This window comes from Homo sapiens, chromosome 3 (assembly GCF_000001405.40).
Source record: "Homo sapiens chromosome 3, GRCh38.p14 Primary Assembly".
NCBI lineage: Eukaryota > Metazoa > Chordata > Mammalia > Primates > Hominidae > Homo > Homo sapiens.
The window spans coordinates 106,071,773-106,090,207 of NC_000003.12; the positions used below are offsets into that span (position 1 = coordinate 106,071,773).

The window sequence follows — 18,435 nt, forward strand, 5'->3', positions numbered from 1 at the left end:
ATGGGGCCTAGGGTGGGAGTGGAGGTAGATTGGTGGGAAGTAATGTCTAGTGAGATAGCTGACTCTTGCTTGTTCAGACCCGTTGAGAGGTGAAGCCAGTTGGACTTCCTGGGTGGAGTGGAGACTGGAGAACTTTTCTGTCTTATAAGAGGATTGTAAAATGCACCGATCAGCGCTCTGTAAAAACGGCACCAATCAGCAGGATTCTAAAAGTAACCAATCACCGGGAGGATTGAGAAAAGGGCATTCTGATAGGACAGAAATAGGACATGGGAGGGGACAAATAAGGGAATAAAAGCTGGCCACTCCAGTCAGCAGCGCCAACCTGCTTGGGTCCCCTTCCATGCTGTAGAAGCTTTGTTCTTTCACTCTTCACAATAAACCTTGCTACCACTAACTCTCTTTGGGTCTGTGCCATCTTTAAGAGTTGTAACACTCACAGCAAAGGTCCGCGGCTCTATTTTTGAAGTTAGTGAGAACACGAACCCACCGGAAGGAACCAACTCCGGACACACTGTGATCTGGGGAGAATGACCTCATGGACTTATTAAAGACTTCCTCACCTTCTGGCTTCTTATTAATACTGATGGAAGATCTCCAGGTGGGAGGAGAGAATGAGTGTTCATTTTGCTGGGACCCTCCCTTTTGGGCTGCTGTATGTTGCCCATGTCCCTCTACCACGGGTCATGGCTCCTGTCAGGCTGTGTTCCCTTACAACCATCCTTGTGTGATTGCCCCTTCAGTCCTAGATATAACCATGCTACTGTCATTAGCCCTGAGTACCACTCTTTCCCTCGATGGTTTCCTAAAACTCTGCCTTCGCTCATAGTTCTTTATCAAACTCTTCTCAACTGTTTGAGTGAGCCATCTTACTTCTTGACCATGTAGAAGGTTTTATGATGTGGAAAATAGTAGATTAATTTTTTTTTTTTCGGTGTTGAAGTCTTAATTTCGGCAATTTTGTTTTTTATTTCTACAATTTATGTTTGACATTTTTTCATATCAAGGTCATTTTTTCTTTTATTTTTTATTTTATTTTTATTTTTATTTTTATTTTTTTTTTTTATTGATCATTCTTGGGTGTTTCTCGCAGAGGGGGATTTGGCAGGGTCATAGGACAATAGTGGAGGGAAGGTCAGCAGATAAACAAGTGAACAAAGGTCTCTGGTTTTCCTAGGCAGAGGACCCTGCGGCCTTCCGCAGTGTTTGTGTCTCTGGGTACTTAAGATTAGGGAGTGGTGATGACTCTTAACGAGCATGCTGCCTTCAAGCATCTGTTTAACAAAGCACATCTTGCACCGCCCTTAATCCATTTAACCCTGAGTGGACACAGCACATGTTTCAGAGAGCACAGGGTTGGGGATAAGGTCACAGATCAACAGGATCCCAAGGCAGAAGAATTTTTCTTAGTACAGAACAAAATGAAAAGTCTCCCATGTCTACGTCTATCCACACAGACACGGCAACCATCCGATTTCTCAATTTTTTCCCCACCCTTCCCGCCTTTCTATTCCACAAAACCGCCATTGTCATCATGGCCCATCCCCAATGAGCCGCTGGGCACAACTCCCAGACGGGGTCGTGGCCGGGCAGAGGGGCTCCTCACTTCCCAGTAGGGGCGGCGGGGCAGAAGCGCCCCTCACCTCCCGGATGGGGCGGCTGGCCGGGCGGGGGGCTGACCCCCCCACCACCCTCCTGGACGGGGCGGCTGGCCGGGCAGAGGGGTCCTCACTTCCCAGTAGGGGCGGCCGGGCAGAGGCGCCCCTCACCTCCCGGACGGGGCGGCCGGCCGGGCGGGGGGCTGACCCCCCCACCTCCCTCCCGGACAGGGCGGCTGGCCGACACCCCCCCCCCGCCTCCCTCCCGGACGGGGCGGCTGGCGGGGCAGAGGGGCTCCTCACTTCCCAGTAGGGGCGGCCGGGCAGAGGCGCCCCTCACCTCCCGGACGGGGCGGCTGGCCAGGCGGGGGCTGATCCCCCCACCTCCCTCCCGGACGGGGCGGCTGGCCGGGCGGGGGGCTGACCCCCCACCTCCCTCCCGGACTGGGCGGCTGGCCGGGCGGGGGCTGACCCCCCCACCTCCCTCCCGGACGGGGCGGCTGGCCGGGCAGAGGGGTCCTCACTTCCCAGTAGGGGCGGCCGGGCAGAGGCGCCCCTCACCTCCCGGACGGGGCGGCTGGCCAGGCGGGGGGCTGATCCCCCCACCTCCCTCCCAGACGGGGCGGCTGGCCGGGCTGGGGGCTGACCCCCCACCTCCCTCCCGGACTGGGCGGCTGGCCGGGTGGGGGCTGACCCCCCCACCTCCCTCCCGGACGGGGCGGCTGGCCGGGCAGAGGGGCTCCTCACTTCCCAGTAGGGGCGGCCGGGCAGAGGCGCCCCTCACCTCCTGGATAGGGCGGCTGGCCGGGCGGGGGGCTGACCCCCCCACCTCCCTCCCAGACGGGGCGGCTGGCCGGGCGGGGGGCTGACCCCCCCACCTCCCTCCCGGACGGGGCGGCTGGCCGGGCAGAGGGGTCCTCACTTCCCAGTAGGGGCGGCCGGGCAGAGGCGCCCCTCACCTCCCGGACGGGGCGGCCGGCCGGGCGGGGGGCTGACCCCCACACCTCCCTCCCGGACAGGGCAGCTGGCCGACCCCCCCCCGCCTCCCTCCCGGACAGGGCGGCTGGCCGGGCAGAGGGGCTCCTCACTTCCCAGTAGGGGCGGCCGGGCAGAGGCGCCCCTCACCTCCCGGACGGGGCGGCTGGCCAGGCGGGGGCTGATCCCCCCACCTCCCTCCCGGACGGGGCGGCTGGCCGGGCGGGGGGCTGACCCCCCACCTCCCTCCCGGACTGGGCGGCTGGCCGGGCGGGGGGCTGACCCCCCCACCTCCCTCCCGGACGGGGCGGCTGGCCGGGCAGAGGGGTCCTCACTTCCCAGTAGGGGCGGCCGGGCAGAGGCACCCCTCACCTCCCGGACGGGGCGGCCGGCCGGGCGGGGGGCTGACCCCCCCACCTCCCTCCCGGACGGGGCTGCTGGCCGGGCGGGGGGCTGACCCCCCCACCTCCCTCCTGGATGGGGCGACTGGCCGGGCAGAGGGGCTCCTCACTTCCCAGTAGGGGCGGCCGGGCAGAGGAGCCCCTCACCTCCTGGACGGGGCGGCTGGCCGGGCGGGGGGCTGACCCCCCCCACCTCCCTCCCGGACGGGGTGGCTGCCGGGCGGAGACGCTCCTCACTTCCCAGACGGGGTGGCTGCCGGACGGAGGGGCTCCTCACTTCTCAGACGGGGCGGTTGCCAGGCAGAGGGTTTCCTCACTTCTCAGACGGGGTGGCCGGGCAGAGACGCTCCTCACCTCCCAGACAGGGTTGCGGCCCAGCAGAGGCGCTCCTCACATCCCAGACAGGGCGGCGGGGCAGAGGTGCTCCCCACATCTCAGACGATGGGCGGCCGGGCAGAGACGCTCCTCACTTCCTAGATGGGATGGCGGCGGGGAAGAGGCGCTCCTCGCTTCCTAGATGGGATGGCGGCCGGGCAGAGACGCTCCTCACTTTCCAGACTGGGCAGCCAGGCAGAGAGGCTCCTCATATCCCAGACGTTGGGGGGCCAGGCAGAGACTCTCCTCACTTCCCAGACGGGGTGGCGGCTGGGCAGAGGCTGCAATCTCGGCACTTTGGGGGGCCAAGGCAGGCGGCTGGGAGGTGGAGGTTGTAGCGAGCCGAGATCACGCCACTGCACTCCAGCCTGGGCACCATTGAGCACTGAGTGAACGAGACTCCGTCTGCAATCCCGGCACCTCGGGAGGCCGAGGCTGGCGGATCACTCGTTGTTAGGAGCTGGAGACCAGCCCGGCCAACACAGCAAAACCCCGTCTCCACCAAAAAAAAACGAAAACCAGTCAGGCGTGGCGGCGCGCGCCTGCAATCGCAGGCACTCGGCAAGCTGAGGCAGGAGAATCAGGCAGGGAGGTTGCAGTGAGCCGAGATGGCAGCAGTACCGTCCAGCTTTGGCTCGGCATCAGAGGGAGACCGTGGAGGGAGAGGGAGAGGGGGAGGGGGAGGGGGAGGGGGAGGGAGAGGGAGAGGGAGAGGGAGAGGGAGAGGGAGAGGGAGAGGGAGAGGGAGAGGGAGAGGGAGAGGATTAATTTTCAATAAAGACTCCAAATAAAGATAATTTCCCCTAAAAAAGGATTCTGCCTTCCACGCTTATCTTCAGCCCACCTATCCTCTCAATTGTCTTGGGCTGCAGGAGAAAATGCACTTGCCAGAACTAAAGAATATTGATCCCTTTCTACAAACTAAGACGTGATAGAAAAGTTGAAGAGGTACCTTTCCTGAGAATTTCTCAGAGCCTTGGTTACATTAAAGTGTCTTCAAGAATAGGCATGAGATACAGATTCCAAAACCTGAAATATATGGAAGAGAACTGGATACCGGAAGGGACTATTCTCATAACTTTATTGATAATTACACATGTTAATTTTATTTATTTGTTCATTAATTTATGTATTTATTTAAAAATATTTGAGGGGTTATCTGTGTTTCAGGTACTTCGATAGGTATTAGGCATAAAACTGTCACATAGTAGCATCTCTATTATTAAGGAGTGTATATAGCTTTGTAAATAGGGGCCACTGACTAGTATCAAAACACACCATGTACTCATTATAGCTTGTTAAAGGTCCTTCTCAATCTTTGTATCATCTTAATATAACATGAAGTTAAAATAAACTAACACTTTAGAGTTATTGGTATATACATGTAACTGAATATGATGGACTCTACCATCACTATTATTAACCAATTCTGGTGCTTCCCTTACCAAGTTAGGTCAGAGTGTCAAAGAGTGTGTATTAGTCTATTCTCGTACTGTTATAAAGAACTGCTCAAGACTGGGTAATTTATAAAGAAAAGAGGTTTAACTGACTCACAGTTCCTCATGGCTGGAGAGGCCTCAGGAAACTTACAGTCATGGCCAAAAGGGAAGCAGGCATGTCTTACATGGCAGCAGTTGAAAAAGAGAGAGAGAAAGGGAGAGAAACACACACATACACACACACATACACACACACACACACACACACACACAGAGAGAGAGAGAGGGAGAGAGACAGACAGTGAGAGACAGTGTGTGGAGGAACTGTCAAAACTTGTAAAACCATTACATCTCGTGAGAACTCACTCACTATCATGAGAACAGCATAGGGAAAACCACCTGCATGATCCAACCCAAATCTCCCACCACGTCCCTCCCTCGACACATGGGGATTAGGGGATTACAATGTGAGATGAGATTTGGGTGAGTACACGGGGCCAAACCATATCAGAGTGTATTATGTGTTAAAGGGCAGTCTCACATTTATAGTGGGGATCTGTGCTTTGTGTAGAGGCTGGTGTGGACACCTCTATTCATTGCTCCAGCAAATACTGACCACTGAGTACATATGTGTCTCCATAGCGAATGTGCAGAGTCACACATTTGGGTGCTCATTCTCTAAGAGTCTTCAGTTTTGTAATCTAGCCACACAATAAATTGTATTTAAGTAAAAAACTGCCACAGTTATTTTCATATTTTTAAAATGCAGAAATGTTTTCTTCCATTTTTGGTCTCTATAAATATAAAAGGTAAATGAAACTGGACATAAATCTAGTCTTCCAAATTTCCCAGCACAAACACCAAGTGTAAAGAGTTTGAGCTGTAGTAATCCATACAGTTTTCTCTTTTCTTTAGGCATCTTGGAGCAATATCAGCATTGATTGTCCTGAAATCTCACCTTGTCTCCCAGAAACAAATAGACTGTACTACAGCTAGTTTTGAAGACATTATAGAATCTCGCTAGATCCAAAATAATAAAGATAGAAAATAGGTTAAAAATATTTATGGGGTTGTAACATTTTAGATGTTTCTTTTTTCAACTCTAGTAATGTGTATAGCCACTTTCTAGCTCCTCTTCTTTTTCACACTGATTTAACCCCTCCTGTGAGATGCAAGCTGTTGATAGAGAAGGTAAGATTAAAACTCTGTAGTGGTACAGGAATTTAACTTTATCCTTGGAGGCTTCCTTGCTTTAGTTACGGTAGGTAAAATTGCTTTTTTCCTTAAAGCAAAGCAATAATATATTCTACAAATATTGGCTGCTGTGTCTTAAAAATACATATTTTAATACATTCAAAGAGAATTTTCTGTGCTTTTTTGAGGACATAACCAAATGATACAGAATTTCTTACATTGCCAATTTAACTCTCTGTACTGCTCTCATGGTAAAAAATGAAACTGGGCAACATAATTCAAACATGGTATATGGGGCAGGGGTAGGGGGTTGGGGGTATGAAGGGTCAGGGTCCAAAGAAGCAATTGGAAAATAGTTATTTCTACCAGTTGCTTTTAGAAAGTCTATTTTCCACTTACACCTACTTGCTTTGCCACTGCTGTACCTTTGTTATGCTACCAATTACGGGTACAAAACCTATCTAGGCTTCAAGAACTGGTTTATTGCTTTCTTAAAAAAGTATTTCATGCTTTTTACGTTATGTTATGTCTAATTGTGTTCTTTTTATTCTCTTACATTAAACTATGAGTTTCCTGAGGACAGGTTATCCCTCTGGTTCACATTTGCATCCATAAAAACATGTAACAGAGTAAGTAACATGGTAGATGCTCAAATGACTTTGGCCAAACTAATGAATATATAAATGTGTGCTAGGCTGCATTGTAGATTGTTCTGATTTATTTAATAAAAGGATTAAAGTATTATTTAAATCAGATAATGACTTAAAAATTCCATTTAATCCTAAACAAGAATTACACCTACCCATTATTGACAAGAAAGATTGACATAGATAATAAAAACTTTTCTGAAGGACAGAAGAATACCAAATTCTATGTACTGCTCCCTTATACAAAAGTATTTGAAAAGAAAGAGCATGACAAATTAAATCTTCACTAACAGATTTCAATGTTTAGTCTATAGATTATATAAGCTCTTTGCCTTTCATTTCCTTCCTTCCTCCCTCCCTATAGATTATATAAGCTCTTTGCCTTTCATTTCCTTCCTCCCTCCCTTCCTTCTTCCTTCCTTCCTTTCTTCTTTCCTTCCTTCCTCCCCTTCCTTCCTTCCTTCTTTACTTCCTTCCTTCCCCCTTCCTTCCTTCCTCCCCTTCCTTCCTTCCATCCTCCCCTTCCTTCCTTCCTTCTTTCCTTCATTCCTTCTTCTTTCTTTCCTTCCTTCCTCCCCTTCCTTCCTTCCTCCCTCCCTCCCTCCCCTTCCTTCCTTCCTCCCCTTCCTTCCTTCCTTCCTCCCTCCCTCCCTTCTTCTCCTTCCTTCCTCTCCTTCCTTCCTCCCTCCCTCCCTCCTTCCTTCCTTCCTTCCTTCTTTCCTTCCTCCCTCCCTCCCTCCCTTCTTCTTGCTCCTTCCTTCCTTCCTTCCCTCCTTCTTTCTTTCCTTCCTTTTCTGCAGTGCACCATCTTGGCTCACTGCAACCTTCACCTCCACGGCTCAAGCAATCTTCCCACCTCAGCACCCCAGTAGCTGGTTCTACAGGCATGCACCAAGACACCTGGCTAATTTTTGTATTTTTAGTAGAGAAGGAGTTTTGCAGTGTTGGCCAGGTTGGTCTCAAACTCCTGAGCTCAAGCAATCCTCCCATCTTAGCCTCCCAAAGTGTTGGGATTACAGGCATGAGCCACTGTAACTGGCCCCCTTCCTTCTTTGAGGTACTCTATCTACTTTTTACCATTTAATCATTAGCTGAAACAAATCAGATATTTCTTTTTCTTGTCAGAAGCCTTTATGAAATATTCAACACAAGAATAAAATGTTGAATTACATAAACAGGGATTTAATGTATTTCTATTCCTTCTAGTATAATAGATCTTTGTAAGTACTATGGAAAAATAATTAGGTATTTTGCCAAAGAAAAAGACCCACACAACTGGAATAAATATAAAAATTACAATTCTGAAACACTTCTGGATCAGAAAACCATAAGATCTATAACTGAATATTATCACCTTGGTCAAGTCATTTATCTTCTCTGAGTCTTTCCTCTTAAATGTGAAATAATGATGGCTGAGTAACTTACAAGGTTTTGTTGAATATTTTCCCATTTTTAATTCCGAAATGAAGAGAAATTATTTAAAAATTATCTTTTGTATAACTCCTTCCATGCATCATTTTATACTCCCCTAAAGTGGATAAGGCAGGTACTATTAACTTCTTTGATAGGGAGGGAAATTAGGGGTCAGAAAGAATTTTTGAATCATTTACTCAGGGGCACATATCCACTTAATGGGACTCAAAACTAGAACACGTGAAAATTTAGTCCTTGTCCTGTGCTTTTCCTGTGTTAGCAATCTGCTTCTCCAAAAGCCAGACATTACATATGCATAAAAGCTCATAGGCACACACGTATGCAGAACCTCTTTTCTACTTTATATACACAATGAGCTTGTGTTGATATTGACATCAGTAAGCATACAGCTCCCTGGGTCAATGACTCTACATTGAAGAAAGTTGGAAGTATTTCAATTATTGGTTTTATGCCAATGTATAACCCAAACACTCACATGAGGGCAATTATTTAAGTAGCTGCAACAGATCCAAGACGATGCATCTTCCCTTCTCTAGACTCCTTATATTCCCAACATGTAGTTTCTACTGCACATATTGGCACATGGAAATTGATTTGTAATAAAATATGTCATAATTTTTTCTAGGGTTATGCTATTTACAATTTCCTACATAAGTTGGAACTAATAGCCCTTGCAACATTCTTGCTGTATAATTTTTAACATACTGTCTTAAATCCAAGGATGTATAAATAATTACTCTTGCTACTGTACTAGAACACTGCAGTTACACAAGTAAAGTTTTAATAGAAATATTTGAATGTAATATTCATGCTTATAACCTTGATATAAAGAGTTTCGCTATCTTTCCCTTCTCCCCTGGAAGAGGAGATGATATAATCATATGACAATGAAAACAATGAAAAGGAAGAAATTATGTTTTTAAAAATACCTTGTTTTGTTCAAATAATAATATAAGGCTACTTATATCAAATTATAAAATACATAAAAATGCAATGTTTTTAAGTTTAACTTTTATTTTAAGTTCAGGGGTACATGTGCAGGTTTGTTTTACAGGTAAACTCATGCCACGGGGGTTTGTTGCACAGATTATTTTGTCACCCAGGTACTATATCTGGTAACCATTAGTTATTTTTTCTTGATCCGATCCTCTCCCTCCTCCCACTCTCTATCCTCTGACAGTTCCCGGTGTCTGTTGTTCCCCTCTATGTGTCCATGTGTTCTTATCATTTAATTCCCACAAAATGCAAAAATTTCAAAGTAGTTGGAAGGTCTCAATGGCCAATTAAAAAAAACAAAAAAGCCAAAAACCTACTCAACTAGACTTTTTCTAATAGAAACAGTACTCTATTAGACAAACTCATGGGAAAACATAAATCATTATTTCTGACTAAGAGAGGAAGGATTACTGTTTATAAAGCAGTTATTTTGGGGATTGTTTATCAAAAGCAATAAAATTAATTTCATATTAATAACTCATAACTATAATTAGAAACACAGCTCATTAAATATTATGTCCAGGCCCACTTCCCTCTTTCTGAAGAACTAAATTAACATCACAGTAAATAAAATGATAAAAAGTAACATCTGGGTATAAAAGAATATTTGTCTTTATGCTGGGATGATTCATATTCAACTCATCTTAAAAATGTACTGAGCAATTAAGAAAAACTTAAAGAGTGAGTGAGGAGGTGCTGGTCTAGAACCAGGACTTACGGAAATCATCAAATCATTAGCAAGATGCTAAGTCCAGGCTCTTAAGAGCAGTGATGATTAGCGTTCTATGTCAAGTTCATGTAGCTTTGCCAAGCAGTGCCAGTTAACATCCAAAGACTGAGAACTTTCAAACAATCATTTCATTACTCTTAGATTTTGCTGTAAGTTTGAAATCTACAGTGGAATAGATATGCCTAAAGTCTACTTAATTTACATGTAAAAGATTGATTTGAAAAGTCCATTTTGGTACTTTGGACAAATATTTTAATACCCTTATCTACCTGTCATTTGAGATATAAAAAATAGTGTTTCTTTGAAAAAGAATGTTATAGCTGAAACCATAATACTGAGCACGAAGTACTATACTGGTAAAAATTACAAAGATGAATAAATGAGTAATCACCAGAGCCATTATAAGTGGTCCTCGAATAGATCTATGTGCAGGACATCTTTCCTGAATGCCTTATTCAGGTTTTGATCATTGTGAAGGACTGTTTCCAGAACTGAATCAGAACAGCCTGAAAATCTGCAAAATCAAGTCAAGAACATTGACCTATAATACTGCTAATCTTCTCAGGTACAGCAGATTAAATCTCTACAACTTCTGTCTCCAGGTTCAAAGGGTAGAAAACAATGATCCAGATTATGCAAAAAAATGCTAACTAAATTATAGTCAACAGATATTTGTGCACTCTGACAAATGAACTTGTGGTTCTCCATTTACTCTTCCATGATCAACAGTTAAACAAAATAGTTTTGAGAAGGATAAGTTTTTTAATATGGACTTGTCCTCCACTGTAGCAGAGTTAAATATCCTGGGGACACAAGAAAGGTAAGATTGAGATGACACATTTTAGACCTGGAATTAGCATCTATAAGTCCCATCAAGTAGAAAAATCCTCAATTTACACATTCTGTGCAGTATTTCTTAAATGGCTATTCAAGTACGTACCCTTAAAAAAAAAAAAGTGAAGAGGAACAAAACCCCAAACACTTCTTTAGATGGGCTTCTGACTGTGCATTGTGAAACTGCACTTTGAAAAAAGCTAGCAAGTTACACTCCCACCAACAGCATACAAAAGTGACTTTATTTTGAAAATTTTCTCTTATCTCCTGAAAGATTCCACTGGGTGCCTATTCTTCTTTAATACTTTTGTTTAGTGCTTTATAAATTTACTTTTAACTAGGAAGGCAAAATACACTACAGATGGTAGTAGTTGTCAGAGTAAGAGCAAGTGATAAAGTTATATCTGACAGCTCTTCTTGGCACAGCAAATGTCTGGAACTGTGAATAACTGAATTCCTGAATCTGGAAGGTGTCTGTGCTGAAGAAATGGGCAATTGCACTAGTGAATTAAGATTGTTGTCTGAATTGCAGAGAAAATTATATGAAACGTTGTTCCTGAAATTAATTTCAGGAGCCATTGACAACTTATAGGTTAAAACAAATTTAACTCTGATAAAAATTTACAGACATTAGAAAGAACAAAACTGCAGCAAATGCAAACATTTAATACAAAGCATAGATAGTTGGTATGACTTTGAAATCTTTGCTAGATCAAAGAGTTGAGTTTTAATACAATGAAACTATCCTAATACACACAAGGAGCCTTAATATTTCAATGATACAAATTGGGGAGGAGTAGAAATAAAGTGGATATGAAGAAAGTTGTGAAATAATTACACAGCAGAAAATAAGTAGTTCTTGTATATTATTTCTTATTAAAGACAGTTTCATTTTGTCAGGAATTATAGCCATGATATTTTTAAAGTGATTTGCAAAGACTACATTTTAGTAATAGCAAATTGGGTTTCATTTTTGCTTTTAAAAGGACCTTGTAATGTTGAGCAATTTCGTCATGCTTTGAGAAGGGTCAATAATCATTCCAGTTTCTAAACAATCTGCAGCATTTACTAATAACCTATCATGTGACAAGCATTGTGGCCAAACATTTTCCTGAACATAAATTAGGTGCTAAACTAACAACTCAAGTAATTCATAAGGAGGTTTAAAATGTGACAGAGACACAAACTGGAAGCTGGTATAATTTTAGTTTCTATAAAAGTATAGGAAGACTTTACTACTATAAAGAAAGTAATGGAATAATCAGCCATTAAGAAAATGTGATCCCTTATTTGGAAAATATTTTCACAAAAATAAAAAAGGCCAACTTTATTAGGTTAGAAGGAAAGAAAGGACTCACTCACAGGCAGCAAGTACAGGTAGAGAAATCCAGGGACACCTCGTATCAGTCACAGAAAGTGTTTAGAACCAGTGTTCCTCTCATTGTTTCATTTCCTCCCAATAGAGAATCTGCAATGTCCCTCTCCCTTTCCCATATGTGAATGATTCAGATCCTTTTTGGAAACTAAAACAAAGGAAAAGAAAAAGAGGAAAAAATGGAAAGAATAAAGGAAGGGAGGGAAGGAGGGAAGAAAGAAGGGAGAGAGGAAGGGATGGAGGGAGGGAGGCAGGCAGGAAGGAAACAAGGAAGGAAGGAAGAAAAGAAGGAAGGAAGGAAGGAAAGAAGGAAGGAAGGAAAGAAGGAAGGAAGGAAGGAAGGAAGGAAGGAAGGAAGGAAGGAGGGAGGGAGGGAAGGAAGGAAGCGAGGAAGGAAATTTTTCTAGAAATCATGTAAGTTTTTCTACCACTGTAGAGAAAAATACTGTTGCATCTTACAGATGAACAACCATGATAAACCACCCTAACTTCTTAAAAATTAAGAAATTAAACTATTCGACTGAACTCCAAATTTACCACTTATATTTTAATGCCTTTGAATAAGCGTTACTCTAGATCATCACAGTTTAGTAGAAATTTCCATGGTGATGGTAATCTGCACTATCAAATATAACTATTCACATGGACCTACTGAGTGTTTGAAATGTGATGAGTTCAGCTGAGGAAATACATTTTTAATCTTATTAAATTTCTATTTCAATAGCCATATGTGTCTAGTGTCTATATTAGACAGCACAGTTCTGGACTGTAAATACTCTGAAGGCAGAGCCTATGTATTAGGTTGGTGCAAAGTAATTGCAGTTTTTGCCATTACTTTCAACATATGAAATATAAGACTTAATCTATGACTGAGTCTTATAAAAGAAGGAACTCATTATAAAAGTTCAAAAATTTAACTGCAATCTTTTGCCCTTTAAAATCAGTTATCTTTTCATATCTTTTAAATGTCTTTTTGTCCAAGAAAACATCAATGAAAATTTAGATGGCTCTTACCTTGAATATTTAAGAAAATAGAATATATCCCAATCATTGTATCAATTGACATAACATAAATATTTTTAAGTCACCGTGAAGTTGATTAAGAAAGAGGCCACAAGTGTTTCTCCTTGAAAGCTGTAGGCTGTGTTTGCTCTCTAGCTTTTTTGGTCTTGAGGTCAACAGTAGAACTGGAGTCAAGTTCTATTGATACTTTGTTAATGTGTGATGTGTAACCTAGGATTCTGAGTTCTGTTTTGCCACACTGCCTCTATAGATGCCACAGTGATGAGTTTTCATATATCTAAGGCTCAGATCCTTTGTCATCTATGAATTGCTAACGGGGTTTTAGTACAAAGGGTCTGTCGTAAGACATCTTACAAGATATTCTTTTAGGTGGCACAAAAGAAATAAAACAACATTGGCTTCTATTACAAGCCTAGGTTTAGCCTATATTTGAATGAAAAATGTGTCATTTTCGTTTAAGAAAACAGAGTATAATTATATTTTAAAGCTTCTTTCTATTTACTGCAAATTGTTACTTGGGTCACAATCACAACACTAAAAAAAACTCTAAGGAAGAAATTTTACTTCTCCTCTGGAAACCCCAGTTATTTTACTCTCAGTCATGATAGGCCATTAACAATATCGAGTATTATATGGGGTATTAAAACGCACCATCAATAGATAAAGTGATTGAGTTAAAACTGAACAATAAGGTCTGTATTTACATACTTATATCTTAGCCTTCCACTTAGTCATAGTTTCATTATTTTTCATATTTCTTTAAAGAATTTCTATATTTCCATTTTGCAATAAAAGAATAGAGAAATGTTAGTACTGTTGAAATTAACTCACAAGACTGACTTATGCATGGAACTGCAAAGAATTATATGCTTGGTGTTGCCAAGTATCACGAATTGCAGAGAATAGGCTTGCAGACCTCTGGGTTATATGGTTCACTATGTTAGGGGTTAACTGGGCCAAATTTGGTGTCCTCTTGGGTGGTTATTTCCAAAATAAAATCTCAAGATTTGAAAACCTAGTGTACTGAAGGGTTCCAAACATGGGAAATGAGGGCATTGACATTAGGAGGTGGAATATTTAGAGCCCCATAGAATATGAGTAATAATAAACTAACAGGGGAGCACATGATCTATCCCAATTATTCACAGCTTCTGTATATGTGAATTTCCTACTTGCCAAAATTTATTTGTAAACCTATCCTAGTCTTTTTGGGCTTCTCTAACAAAATATCATAACTGGGTAGCTTATAAACAACAGAAGCTTATTTTTCACAGTTCTGGGGGTTGGAAATTCCAAGAAATTTGCCAGCAGATTCAGTGACTGGGGAGGTCCTGCTTCCTGGTTGACAGTGTAAACAGCTGAGGAATCATGAGGCTCATAAATTTGGAAAGGAGAGCTTTATATCTCATAAGGAGTTGTAGCCTGCTGGCTGGCCATCCCACAGGCTGGGAAATGTTGCCTCCGGAGTGCAAGCACTTCAAGGGAGGGGTAAAGGGAATAGGAATTTGTGGTAAGTGAGATGGCCAAATATACATACTGAAGTTACAGGAGGAGTCATGAATGTTTAAGAAAGAAAATACATATGTACATGCAGTGGCACCTCATGCTGCTTCAAAGGTTACATGTTCAAAAAATGGTGGCATCAGTGTGATCTGAGGGTGCAGTTTTTGGCTCTTTGATGTAAAAGGTGAAGTGGAGGACACAAAAACCCTCACTGTGCATCCTCTGTGAGTTGGCCAATGTCTGTCTGGAGATGGTGGTCAGTTTTTAAAATTTATTTTTTATTTTTTAGTTTTAAGGAGTGGAGCGTTTAATAGACAAGAAGGAAGGGAGAAGACAGAAGGAAGAAGCTACCCCGTACAGAGACAGAGGGAGGGGGCTCCAAAGCCGAAAGAGGAAACCCTGGTGGTCAGTTTTTAGGAAGGGATGTGATGTGAAATTGGTGAGCTATCGTGTCAAAACTGCAAAGAGGATGGGAGAGTTTGGTCAAGACCTCACATTATTGGCTAAAGGTGATAAAAGAATGAGTCATCTTTTTGTTTTCTGGAGTTGGTTTCTGTCTCTTCCTTAGGAGAAATTTCTGGTTAAAGGTTAACAAAGAGGCTGGGTGTGGTGGCTCATCTATGTAATCCCAGCACTTTGGGAGGCTGAGGTGGGTGGATCACGAGGTCAGGAGTTCAAGACCAGCCTGGCCAACATAGTGAAACCCCATCTCTACCAAAATACAAAAAAAAAAATTAGCCAGGCGTGGTGGTGGGCACCTGTAGTCCCATCTACTTGGGAGGCTGAGGCAGGAGAATCACTTGAACCTGGGAGGTGGAGGTTGCAGTGAGTTGAGATTGCACCACTGCACTCCAGCCTGGGCAACAGAGTAAGACTCCGTCTCAAAAAAAAAAAAAAAAAAAAAGGTTAATAAAGAAGGGATCCACTGAAGTGCGTCTGACCTCTCATACCATTATGGCTGAAAATTCAGTTTTTAGGGTGTCTCTGGGGTTCTCTTGGCCGAGAGAGTGTCCAGTTGATTAGAAGGGCTTAGGATTTTATTTTTATTTCCCAATAGGCAACCGTCTTCTTATTGTGACCTCCCATTGTGGAAGGGGGTAAGGGAGCTCTCTAGGATCTCTTTTATAAGGTCCCTAATCCCATTCATGAGGGTTCCACCCTCATGACCTAATCACTTCCCAAAGGCTCCACCTCCTAATACCATCACAGTTGGGGTTAGGATTTTAACATATGAATTTAGGGGAGAGGCATAAACATTCAGTCCATAGTGACGCCGGAATCAATACTTGTGCTTTCATAGTTATCGTGGACATGTACAGCAAAACATTTGAGGTGTCCTACGCACGTTTCCAGTTGAGGTTGAACAAGGCAATACTCTGCCTACTTGTTTCATACTGTAAACAAGTGTCTTTTTCATGGTCTGTTTCGTGCAACATTTCACACCTTTTTATGCTTTTTGTTGTTGATTTCACTGTTTAAAATTACCCCCAGGCTTAGGGCTGATGTGCTATCTAGTTCCAAAATACATGAAGGTTGTAACGTATCTTAGGAAGAAAATGCATATGTTAGATAAGCTTCATTCAGGCATGAATTATAGGGCTGTTGGCTGTGAGTTCAATGTTAATGAGTCATCAATATATATTAAATGAGGCATATCTAAATAGATTACACATATAAGACAAGGTTATGTATTGATCAGTAAATAGAATTGTTGTGACCAGAGGCTCTCAGGAACCTAACCCTAAATTTTCCCTAGAAGCAATGGTTCAATATTTGTAACAACTTTATGGAATGTAAATATTGTGAATAATGAAAATCAACTGTATGTATTGGAGAAATAGGGAATGTGAGAGATATTTAATTATTATTTTCCGGGAAATATTTATGCCCATAATGGGCTCTTGGCTCCAAGCTGAGCACTAGGACAGTAGAGACTGAAAAGTTTCTAAGACATGTTTTTGTGTTTCATTTTTTAAATTTAGATCCATGGGTTAGCTTTAGCAAATGCTCAAATTCCCTGAAATGGAAGATTTTATTGTGAATACATATACAGGTGCACATTTTTCTATGGAAAAGGGTTTAGAATTTCTATGAGTCCATGAGTCAAAAAATAATTAAGAATTACTGCTGTGAGATGTTGGCACGAGGCCCAGGACCATGCTACAATGTACAGAGCTTCACCTGATGAATTGCAGACTGGAGTTTGTCCTGTGGCAATGTCTCACAGGGCTTAGCAAGGACTTGGCTAACAGAGTGTGATGGGAGATGGAGCTTAGGTGGCCTGTGAGGCTCTCAGAGAAGAAAGATTAGGGAGTCTTTTACATCTAATGGCAAATAATAGCTGCTCAGTTATGAATTTAAAAACCTGGAGAAGACAGGCTCTAAAATCCTAGAGGATTATGTGGACTTTCGTCCTTCAGTTCTATGTTCATTTTACAAAAACTGGAGGCTCAGCAAAGCCTCAGTGTAAGAAATCATCTACAAACATTTAGTCTATAGTCATAAATGTGCATATTTTAATTTATAGTTAAGCTGAAACTCAAAGAAAAATCTCCTGGTGTAGGAATTCATAGTCATCAGCAATGTTTTGTGGGTGGTGACTGGTCGTACAGTGCCATCATCCTCTCCCGGGTCCACTTTCCCCATCCTTGGCCTTCTTGGCAAGAGTACTTTCCTAGGGCTGTGAATGTCCAGAAAGCCTATGTTTACTGGTGTGGTGAGGACATTAATAGTAATTAGGATTACAAGTGAGATAAAATGCCTGTAGGTGCCCAAAGAGAAAAGGCAAATCACGTGGTTTTGTAGGTCTCAGAAAGAACTGATCCTACAGCTGAAGGAAAGGCTCCTCTGTTCACTCATTGGCAGTCCTCTAGCTGTGCTCTTCATTTGTTCCTGTCTCAGGTCTTTACTATTAAATAACTAACAAATAACATTTGATTTTTACCTCACAACCCCCTTAGATACATTAAATGCATTAATCTTGTTGGACCAGTAGATTCTGTTTATCAGGCCACTGCCTTAGTACCTCAAATAATAACTTGTATTTGTAGAATTCTTTTTACTCCTAATTTATATTCATATATTAAATTAAATTTATCCTGTTCAGAACAAATAGTAACATCCTGGAATGGTTTAGATTAGTGATTAAGAACACCAGCTCTGAGTTACTCAGCCATTTACTATGTGAAAAACAGTAATTTTCACCTTATGCCATGGTTGAGAGAACTAAATAAAATAATATAACAAGAGGACCATTTAGCCTGGTGCCTGTAGATACTTAGAGCTTGATCTATATATTATTAACCATCGGTTATTATTATTATACCAAACATTGAACACTTTTTTGACTTTTAATTATACATTTTGGAAAACTAAGACCCAACAAATTACTTTCTCCAGAGAACAAAACTAATGAAGATAGATTTGGGACAAGAACCCAAGACACCGACTTACGGGATGGTGATCTTTTGTGTAAATCACTGTCAGATATACACATTTGTTCAATTTGAGGATTTGGTGCCTGAAATTTGGTAGTCCTGGCATGCTTTAATAAAATAGATGCCTTGAAATTGCAGTAGGGGAACTAGCATCCTGTTCATTGAGGACAGAATTGTTTTGAAAACAACTGGTCTTGTCTTTATTGCAAAATATATCTGTAGTTCATTAACTCTCTGAAAAAGACCATTGTTATGGAAAAGTTTAAAAGCCCCTTCTTCCCTCAGGCTATGAGAGAAGGGCTAAAATGAGGACTTTGTAGGACACATCAGGCAAATACATCATTTATTCTTAATTTATTGACTGGCTCCATAGGCATGAACCTCATGCTTATAAATCAGAAGCATCCTTACAAGGTGGGAAAGCCCACGATCTTTGGTATTATGACTGGGCTTATTCCTTGTTTTCCAACTTTA

At 42.6% G+C, this 18,435-nt stretch overlaps 1 annotated feature.

Annotated features, from left to right (window-relative positions):
- Positions 955 to 1,797: an enhancer, noted in NCBI's record as "NANOG-H3K27ac hESC enhancer chr3:105791574-105792416 (GRCh37/hg19 assembly coordinates)". NCBI's record gives its function as "activates a minimal SCP1, AML or CMV promoter by ChIP-STARR-seq in naive H9 embryonic stem cells {active_cell/tissue: H9 hESC(naive)}" and the evidence as "EXISTENCE:reporter gene assay evidence [ECO:0000049][PMID:30033119]".